Genomic DNA, 10,369 nt, shown 5'->3' on the forward strand with positions numbered 1-10,369 from the left:
TGACAGAGCAAGACCCTGTCTCAAACAAAAAGGAAAAAAAAAAAGGAAGAAAGAAAATTCCAGAAACAAACTATTCATAAGTTTTAAATTGCACACCGTTCAGAGTAGACTGAAAAATCTCGCTGAGTGCAGCCCCATCCAGCTTGGGTGTGAATCATCCCACTGTCCAGCGTCTTTATGCTGTACCTGCAACTCCCCCATCTGTGAGTCATCAACATCGTCTGCTCCTGACATCCAGCCTGCAGTGTCATCACGGCTCAATGGTCCAGGGTAACCACAGCAGGTGACCCTCCCTCTGACGTACGTATCATCAGAAGGTTGGCAGCAGCCTGACACTATGTCACAGTGCCCACGTCACTCACTCACGAAGGCATTGTGTCATCTCACAGCCTCACAGAAAGAGTGAGTGAGGCACAATCGGGCGTTTGGAGTAAGAGAAGCCACACTCCCATAACCCTTATAACAGTATGTCCTGTTATTGTTCTATTGTATTCATGGTTGCTATTGTTAATCTCTCACTGTGCCTAATTCATAAATTAAACTTTATCATAGGTTTGTACATGGGGGGAAGTTCAGTACTATCCACAGTCTCCAACATCCACTGGGGGTCTTGGAGCACCCCTTGCAGATCAGGGGGACTCCTGCAGAGTCAGTAAAGAGGTACTTAAGTTAAAACGAGTGGCTCATAACCCAATATAACTGGTGTTCTTGTAAGAAGAGATCTGGACACAGACGCACAAAGGGGAATGACGAGGTGAAGACCCCGGAGGAGGAGACAGCCACCTGCAAGCCAAGGAGAGGGAGGCCTCAGGAGAAACCGCACTGACACGCTCCCCTACTGCACACACCACCCAAGAAAGAACCCCAGATGGGGCTGGCTTCCTAGGAGGTGGGAAGCCAGCCTCATCCCCTTGATTACAGCTGGGCAAACTGAGGCTGACACTGCTCTATCTCCTTGGGGCAGCAGGAAGGAAGGAATCACTCCCTTCAAACACCCCCCCAGCTCTGGGCCATCCCTCGCAGGCCCAAGTTCTTTCTGCCCTGGATTAGGGTGATTTATATCTTTTTCATGCATTTATTTATTCATTCCATTATCTAACTCATATTTATTGAACACCTACTATGTGCCAGGCACTGGGCTAGGCATTGGGGAGATCGTGGTGAGCAGGACAGACAAGATCCCTGCCCTCACGGAGCTCATGTGCTGGTGGGGACGGAGTGTGCACATGAAGTCTAAAGAAAGGAGATCATTTTAGAGAGGGGCTCCGAAATGCCGGGGGCTGGCATGACAGTTACTAGGGACCAGAGGGACTGGGGCAGGGAGACAATGTCGAAAGGGTGATCAGGGAAGGTGACATTTCAGTGGGACTCAAATGACAGGGAGCAGCCCATGTGTGAATGCCGGAGGAGGTGTGCTCCCAGGGAAAGGAGCTGCGCGTGGACATACCTGCATCTGGAGAGAGCGTGGGCTATCAGAGGAGCGGTGAAGAGGGCAGTGTGGCCAGAGCACACTGAGCAGAGTGAAGAGGAGGGTGAGATGGGGCCCCGGAGCTGTGAAGGAGGACCTTGTCTTGAACCGTCCTCAGGGACAATGTGCCAGGGGAGGGTCCAGCCTCCAGGCTCCTCCTCTGCCAGCCCCATCTGCCCCTGAGCAGTTGCCTGGGAGGCAGCAAGGAACATGAAGAGTCACGTGGATTCTGAAGACAAAACTAAACTGGAATCTCAGCTCTGAACCCCCAGCTATGTGACCTTGATTGTGTCATTTTCTAGAAGACACTGTCCTTTGCAGCCCAGACCCCTCCTTCTGGACCAAGGTATTTGGGAGTGTTGAAGGCTGAAGCCTGACAGCTGCGTCCCTGGGTAGTGCCCTTGGATAGCAGCAGCCGCTTCGCCCAAGGTCACACCCCTCCTGGGGAGGAAGGGGGCTTTGGTAGGCATCCCACATCCAATGTCTGGCTGGTGAGGGGGTACAGAGTCCTGGCCCCTTAATTAGAAGTTAAGAACCACTCTGAAGGGCCATTCAGGTAGGAATGGCTGAGGCTTCTGTTGCCCGCAATCAACTTCTCCCTCTGCCCAGCCCTCCTTCCCTCACTCCCTCACCAGTGTCGAGCCTGAGCCTACTCCCTAATAAACTTCCTGAATGCAAATCTTCATCTCACAGTTTCTTTCCCTGGAAAACAGACCTAAGACGCACTTCATTTCTCTGGAACTTAGTTTCTGCAGATTTACTGAGTTGCAAAGCTTAAAAGCAATGATGTATGCAAAGCTCCTGGTCCAGGACATGATAAGTCTTCAATAAATGTCACTTGTTCTCTTTTCTGGCCTCCCTGTGCCCTTTGGTCTCACACATATGTGTATCTGCCATTGAGCTCAAGCCAAGGCCTTATACAGGGTAGATGCCCAGTGTGTTCTGAATTGAGTCAATACACAATATATGACAAGCATTGCACTTGTCACATTTATTAGAAGATGAAGTGGAAATGGTTCATTGTCCCCCAGTATCCATGCTCAATTTCTCTCATAGAAATAAAACTCTAGACTTTTAGCTGGGTACACTTCATCCCAGAATGAAGACTACAGCCTTCCCTGCAGCTAGGTATGCCCATCCGTTTAAATGCTGGCCAGTGAAACATGAGCAGAAATGATGTATGCAACTTCAAACGTGTCTTAAAAAGAAAGGTCATGCTTTGCCCTTCCCACTGGTAAGAATGCAGATGTGATGGCTGGAGCTAGAGCAGCCACATTGGACCACAGAATAGCAGGGCAACTGTGAAGCCAGCAGATGTACCCTGGGCTGAATGCTCACTGGCTGTGCCTTTCAGGACCTAGTGCAGCAGATCTCTCACCTCACAGAGCCTCAGTGTTTGCATATGTGAAATGAGACAAATTCTAAGTGAGACCATATACAATGGAATCTCACTGTACCCAACAGTTCTATTTTACAGGGGAGAAAAATTCACTTAGAACTGAAGGGCTTGGACTCTTGGGAATATTGAATTTCAGACTAACTCCTTCTTAATTAACTCATTTTGTTTATATTTATCTTTGTGGTGTGACCTTCCTTTCCTGGGGATGGTCCAGATCTAGCAGGTCCAGGGGAAAGGCTAACAAATAAAGAAACAGATCTCTCCCTGTCAAAAAGGGCATCGAGTTCATGTAAATTAAAACGTGGGCCTGGCAGGCCTCCACAAGGCACGTCAGAGGTCCAGAGGCGCTCATGATGCTTATATGCTTGTTGTTCTGTGATGATTTAAAATGCCCTCAGAGCTGCAGGCACCATGGTGGTCTGGAGAGGTGCAGGTGAACCAGGAGCTGTGCAGCCTTTGCATATAGAAGAAGAGGAGGGTTTTCCTATAGATCCTGGTCAACGATGGAGAGGTTTCCATGAGCTCACTTGTCTTTGAAGTTAAGAAAAAAAAGTTTCCATGAGCACAGCAAAGGGGCATAGAGTAGACCCTGGCCTAGATGACATGGAGGGTTTTGGAGGAAATTGGGAAGAAGAGTTTTAGAGGACAACTCATGAATGCGTAGAATTAGCATGGATTGGCTGTGGGTGTTTGTGGATCCAAGGACTGGCTTTCGTCTGGCCTGGACCCAGGCCTCTCCAAACCTCAGCCCAGCCCCATCCCAGCTGCCCTGCCTCCAGACCCTGCCCACCCTCTGAGATCCAAGGAACCTCTCATTATAGCTTGGCTTTCTGCTCTATGCACCCCAGGGTATCACCCAAGGTCATGTTTAGACTTTTCACAAGAATTGGACAATTAGAGCAGACAAACAGTATGAATAACAGCAGTGCACAGCTCAGAATCTTGAAGGAGGCTGGCGTAGAGGATGGTGTATGTGTGCAATTTCAAAGGGCTTTACCCACTGGAACTGCTGCAACCAGAAAGATGGAAGAAGTCAAGGTACTTTTTCTTATTTCCCCCCACCAAATACAGCTAAAAGTCATGGGTATTCTGTGTAGAATGAATACAAGGAGGCCCTAACATGTGCAGAGAAGCACAAGCTGGGAGCCTCAGGACCTGGCAACAGCATGGTGGTGAGTTCCATCTTTTTGCTTCGTGTTTGCCAAACTGGGTGCTAAAGAGTCAGCAACCTAGAAATACCAACAGGCTCAGAAAACAATCCCCCAAAAAAACCTGCTCCCTCTAGCCAGGCAAGGGGCATTCTGGAAAACTTTAGAAGATAACTGACCTACGCCATCAGACCACACAGGAAAAGACGAGGCCCCACACCACCCTGGCCAGCAGAGACTGAGGAGGGAGCCTAGACCTCCACCCTCACCCAGATGTACTGACTGAGATGCCACCCCTCCTTGGGAAGGTATTGGAGAAGCCCAGCTGGGGGCAAGGAAGTCCACCACAGCCGGGCCTCAAAGGAGGCTGCTGAGACAGAGGTTTAAATAAGGCCAGGAGCCCCACCACATAACCCCTAATATCCAGGCTTCAATCACAAATCACTCCACACCAGGATCCAGGAAAACACCGACCCTGATGAGAAGAGATGCAGAGACTAACCCAGGATGACACCAACAGCAGCATCATCTGAACAATTTGAAGCCACCATCACAAAAATGCTCAACGGCAAACACAACAGAATCAAGTGAGAAAATAGAAAATCTCTGCAGAGAAACAAGCCACAAAGAGGAACAAAATGGGAACTCAGGGTTGAAAACGCAACAGCCAAAATTAACTCAGTGGATGGCTCAACGCCAGAACAGAGAGGCTGGAGGGAAGAGTCAGTGAACCTAAAGATAAAATAATAGAAATTACTTAATTTGAACAACAAAGCAAAAAATAGACTTAGATAAAAATGAGCAGAATCTCGGGTATGTATATTTTGGCCTATATACATTTTGGTCTATATTTTGGTCTCTCTATTACAAAAGGCCTAGCATCCATGTCGTGAGAGACCCAGAAAGGAAGAAAGATGAGGGTGGAGCTGAAAAGATTTTCAAGGAAATAATGTTTAGAAATTTCCTAAATTTGGCAAAAGACATAAATTTACAGATTCAAGAACCTGAGCAAACCCCAAATGGCATCAATCAAAGCAAACCTATGCCAAGACACCTTCTATTGAGACTTCGGAAAACTGAAGACAAAGACAAAAATCTTGAAAGTGGCAAGAAAAAAACATCTTGGCCAGGCGCCATGGCTAACGCCTGTAATCCCAGCACTTCGGGAGGCCGAGGAGGGCAGATCACTTAAGGTCAGGCGTTCAAGACCAGCCTGGCCAACATGGCAAAACCCCGTCTCTATTAAAAATACAAAAATTAGCCAGGTGTGATGGCGCATGCCTATAATCCCAGCTACTAGGGAGGCTGAGGCAAGAGAATCATTTGAATCTGACAGGCAGAGGTTGCAGTGAGCCAAGATCGCACCACTGCACTCCAGCCTGGGAGACAGAGAGAGACTCTACCTCAAAAAAAAAAAAAAAAAACAGAAACAGGCTGGGTGCGGTGGCTCACGCCTGTAATCCCAACACTTTGGGAGGATGAGGCGGGCAGATCACGAGGTCAGGAGATCGAGACCATCCTGGCTAACACGGTGAAACCCCATCTCTACTAAAAATACAAAAAATTAGCCGGGCATGGTGCCACGCGCCTGTAGTCCCAGCTACTCGGGAGGCTGAAGCAGGAGAATCGCTTGAACCCAGGAAGCAGAAGTTGCAGTGAGCCGAGATTGTGCCACTGCACTCCAGCCTGGGCGACAGAGAGAGAGAAAAAAGAAACAGCATCTTACCTGTAAGGGAAAACCATTTTAATGACAGCAGATTTCTCACTGAAACCATGGAGACCAAAAGGAAGTGGCACAGCAATTTTCAAGAGCTGAAAGAAAAGAACTCTCAGCCCAGAATCTTACATCCAGTGAAAATATCCTTCAGAAATCAAGAGGAAATCAAGACATCTTCAGAAGAAAAAAAAAACAGAGACTTTGTCACCAGCAGACCTACCCAAAAGGAGTGATTAAAGGAAGTTTGCCAAACAAATAAAATGAGAAAAGAAGGAATCTCAAAGTGTAAGGAAGGAAGAACACAGTCAACAAAATATAGATAGAGACAATAGACCTCATCTCTTGAGTTTTCTAAATTATGCTTGACAATTGAAGCAAAAGTTATAACACTGAATGATGTGATTGCCAACGTATGTAGAGGAAATACTAAAAAGAATTGTTATACAGGGGGAGAGAACAGGGAAAGTGAAGGACTTAGGTTTCTCCTCTTCCCCCCCCCCCCCCCCCCACTGATAAAATGTCAACATCAGCTAACTGTGATAAGTTATATATGTATAATCTAATACCTGGAATGACCACTGAAAAATCTGCACAAAGAGATGCTGTCAAACGCACTATATACAAACCAAAATAGAATTTGGCAGACCTGGGTTCAGGGCTGAGATAGAGCCCAGTGGGGTGTCAGAGTGGGGCATAAGCCTAGGGCTGGCCTGTCCACCCAGTTTCAGCCAAGGGTGGCATGGGGGTGTGGAAAGGGAGGGCACTGTGCAGGCTGGGACAAGGGGAGACAAAAGAGGCATCCTCCATAAAAAACACAGGGAGGCACTCACTGCCAGGCCTGTGGGTGGCCTCCGAGAGGCTGAGCCTCATGGAGGAGAGGCAGCCAGTTCCAGGCAGTGTGGCAGGCCAGGGGCAAACTGGAACTGGAACTTGGGGAACTGATTCTGAGGTCACCCTCTCAGGGGGTAGGAGTTTGCCTGTCCCTAGTTGAATACAGAGATCCAGTCAGGGACAGGGTCTGGCCTTCAGGTCACTGTGGGGAATTGAATGGGGAAACCGAGGCTGGAGCACAAAATAATGGATTGGACCAGCACTGCACAGTGGTGGTGGGTGTAGGGGAGATGCAGTAGCTTTGTGGCCCTGGGTGCAGGGACCTCCAGGGTCACACCAGACACAGGGCTGAAGGACCATGGGGCAGATCACATTTCCAGAGGCGACCACACAGCACCTCCCATCCCGCACACGCTTTTGCAGTGTGACTGTCTTACTCCGTTTTGTGTTGCTATGAAAGAGTACCTGAGGCTGGATCATTGATAGAGAAAAGAGGGTCCTTTAGCTCACCATTGTGCAGACTAGGAAGTTCGAGGACTTGGCCTTGGCTTCTGTTGAGGGCTGTCATGCTGCTTCATAACATGGCCAGGGTCAAAGGGAAAGTGGGCAAGTATGAAGGGTGGTAAACTGAGAGGTGTCTGGCTTTATAACAAACCTCTCTCGAGGGAACTAACTTATTCCCATGAGAACTCATCCAGCCTCACCAGAGTGAGAACTTGCTCACGGCCTAGAACAGCACCAACCACTCATGAGGGAAGACCTCATGACATAAACACCCCCCACTAGGCCCCACCTACCACCACCACCACCACATTTCAACACAAGCTTTGGGGACAAACAGACCATGGCATTGACCTTGTCTTGTCCCTGCCAAAGAGTGGCCTCTAACTTCCCCGCCCCCATGCCCCTGGCCTTGAACCTGACCTGGCCTTGGTGATTTCCTTTGCAGTGACAAAACGTTGTAGGAATGAGGTCAGAAGAATGAGGTCCCTAGGAACACTGGTCCTCAGGATGCTTCTCTGGAGCCTGGCTTGCCATGCTGTGAGGAGGGCCAAGCCACCCAGAGAGGCTATGTCAGCTTTCACTCAAGCCCCGGTGCCAGGCTTGGGTATGAGGAAGCCTCTAGGTCCCTGCAGCCCCCAGTAGCCTGAGTCACCAGGGTCACCACCCAGCCTTCAGTCTCCCCAGCTTTCTGGGACATGCGGAACAGAGGGGAAGCACCCTGACGCTCTCTGGCTGAATTCGTGACCCACAGACTTGGAGAGCAGGAGAAAATGGCTGCTGTTTTAGGCCTCTAGGCTTGGAGTGGTTTGTCACCCAGGCACCTAGAACAGAGCTCCCCTCCTGTTCACGCCATCCCCACCTGGGCCAAAAGACTTCCCTATTTTTTTGTTTTTTTTTTTTTTTTGAGACAAAGTCTCACTCTGTCACCCAGGCTGGAGTGCAGTGGCGCGACCTCGGCCCACTGCAACCTCCGCCTCCCGGGTTCAAGCGATTCTCATGCCTCAGCCTCCCAAGTAGCTAAGGCTCCCCTACTTTTAAGTGGGCAGAGGGCTGGAGGGGTTGGAGGCCCAGGACAGAGGAGGCAGCTTGGCTGCCTTGGCACAGGGCCTGCAGGACCTGGGGAAAAGTCTCGGGCTCGAGGGCCCTCTGCCCCAACTGCCACCTGGGCCAGTGTCCTCCCATCCCGGGCCCCCTGTACCTTCATCTGTCACACAGGGATGGTGAGGCAGAGAACATGCCCAGTGCACACTTGAGGCCACTGTGCACGAGCTGGCTCCTGCTTTTCCTTATGCAGCTGCTATCAGGCATGTGCTGCCTGGTCTGTAGACAGCCCGCAGGGGCACCTCGGAAGAGGTAGGGCCGTGCACCTTCTAAGCCTCAACTTTCTGCTTCTGCAAGTGAGAGAAGCACTGCGTGGGGTGCCTGACGCCAATCCCTCTAGGTCTCACCTCCTCCCTTGCCCTTGAATTGTCTTCCTCCCCATCACCTGACAACACTACTCTGGCCTGGCTGGACCCCAGCTTCCTCCCTTGCCCTGGCAACCCTCTCTCCCAAAGACACCACTGAGACTTTAGAAGTTCAACGCTGACCTCACCGCATCTGCCTAGCCCTCTTCACATGCCACAGTCAAGGTCTCCTGTGACCTGGCCTGGCTGCCTCTCTCCCTGTCTCCTGATCCCTGCCCTGTGAAACCGTCCCCTGCTTGAACTCCAGATACAACTCAACGGACAGTGGATACCTTGGCAGACGCCACCTCCACCAGTGATGAAGGTGAAGAGCCCTGGAAAGCAGTGGCACTGGTGCATGGACCCCCATGTGGTGTGATGAGGAGCACCTCCTCTCTGTGGTCCTCCCCCTCAGGATGCCAGTGCCATCATAAGGAAGCATCAGAAAAGCCCCAGGGGAGGCCCATCCTGTGGACTAACTGGCCAGCGCCCTTCCAGAGTGACCAGGTCACAAAAGATGAGGAAAGGCTGGAGGGGACCAGGGAGACAAGATGACCACACGAAATGGATCCTGGATTATTTCCTGAAACAGAAAAAGGACATCAGTGGAAATGCTGGAGATATCTGAACTCTAGTTCACGGTGGCACAGCAACAGTTATTCCTTAGTTCTGACAGTTGTATCACGGTTACGTGATGTGTTAACATACGGGACAGGAATTCTCTGCACCACCTTTTAGTTCTTCAGTAAATCTAAAATTATTTCAAAATAAAAGGTTTAAAAACCCTAGATGCTTAAAAATTCCTTATCGTGTCTCTCACTGTAACTGTATGCATAATCACTGTAATAACTCAAATCAGCCGAGGCACACAATGGTGACAGTGCTGGCCTCCCTTCAAAGAGAAGCTGGCGTAATGCGCGTGCCTCCAGGTCCCGTGCATGTGTTAACACATATCATAACTCGATTTTGTTTTTCTCATAAATGGGATATAAAGCACACTGTGTCCTGCCACTTGCTTTTTCTCCTGTTACTCCCCCTGGGGCGTCTTCCAGGTGGGGCCTGTGTTCACAGCCGTGGATGTAAACCACATTTCAAGCAGGCTTCTCGGTGAGTTGTAATTTCTGTGTCCGACTCCTCATCAGGGCCGATTCCATAGACGCTGTATTTACCTAGTACTGTGCACCCTGAGTGGCTCCTTCCAGGAGTGAAGAAGAGTGCCGAGTTACCATTTCTTGTTTTAAGCTCTTGCTTCCATTATCTTCAAAACACATTTCCTTCACATGAAACTTCTTAAGCCACTTGCTCATTTTGTTAGGGTTAGTTTAATTAAAACCAGAGACTATAATCCACAAATCCACTTACCCAGGCAATTCGCTGAAACAGAATAGACCTGCATGGGCCCCTCTATGCTTCAGGCCTCCCCCTGCTGCGAGGGGATGTGGCTGTCCGAACACCAGGGCTGAGAAAGGACCTCCGGAGGGCGGTGCCGTCTTTACAGTAGGCATTGATCAAGCTGATTGCTTTCTTGTTGTGGAGTAACACAGGTACAAAATAGAAGTTCTAATGTTTTCTTCTCACACCCTGTGGTATTCATAGAAGTTCCAGCATATTTTTTGCAGCATATTCACCAGTGGCTTGGCCTGCATGGAGGGTTGGTGCTCCATTTTGGGGACCCCTGGGCTGGGTCCTCTGCTATCCTTCGCAAGGCTAACTTGTCCTCCAGGCTCTGGAGACTCGCCTGCCCCCCAGGAAGAGAGGCAGAGAACATGCACAGCATGCACTCGAGCCTGACTCCCCAGCTGCATCAGGACCCCCCCTCGCTCTGGTCACAGCCACCTTCCTCCCTTTGGTCAAACA

The 10,369-nt window shown here is 49.9% G+C and overlaps 1 long non-coding RNA gene across 1 annotated transcript in view; it reads right to left on the reverse strand.

Annotated features, from left to right (window-relative positions):
* The window catches only part of LINC01471 (long intergenic non-protein coding RNA 1471), a 40,180-nt gene that overhangs the window by 27,711 nt on the left and 2,100 nt on the right, over window positions 1-10,369 (reverse strand). The window contains exons 2-5 of the long non-coding RNA NR_125397.1: window positions 9,875-10,152; window positions 8,806-9,095; window positions 8,324-8,458; window positions 7,074-7,124 (exon numbers count right to left, since the gene is read on the reverse strand). This is a non-coding gene — a long non-coding RNA (long intergenic non-protein coding RNA 1471). The remainder of the gene's footprint in view (window positions 1-7,073; window positions 7,125-8,323; window positions 8,459-8,805; window positions 9,096-9,874; window positions 10,153-10,369) is intronic.

The sequence above is a fragment of the Homo sapiens genome, chromosome 3 (assembly GCF_000001405.40).
Source record: "Homo sapiens chromosome 3, GRCh38.p14 Primary Assembly".
NCBI lineage: Eukaryota > Metazoa > Chordata > Mammalia > Primates > Hominidae > Homo > Homo sapiens.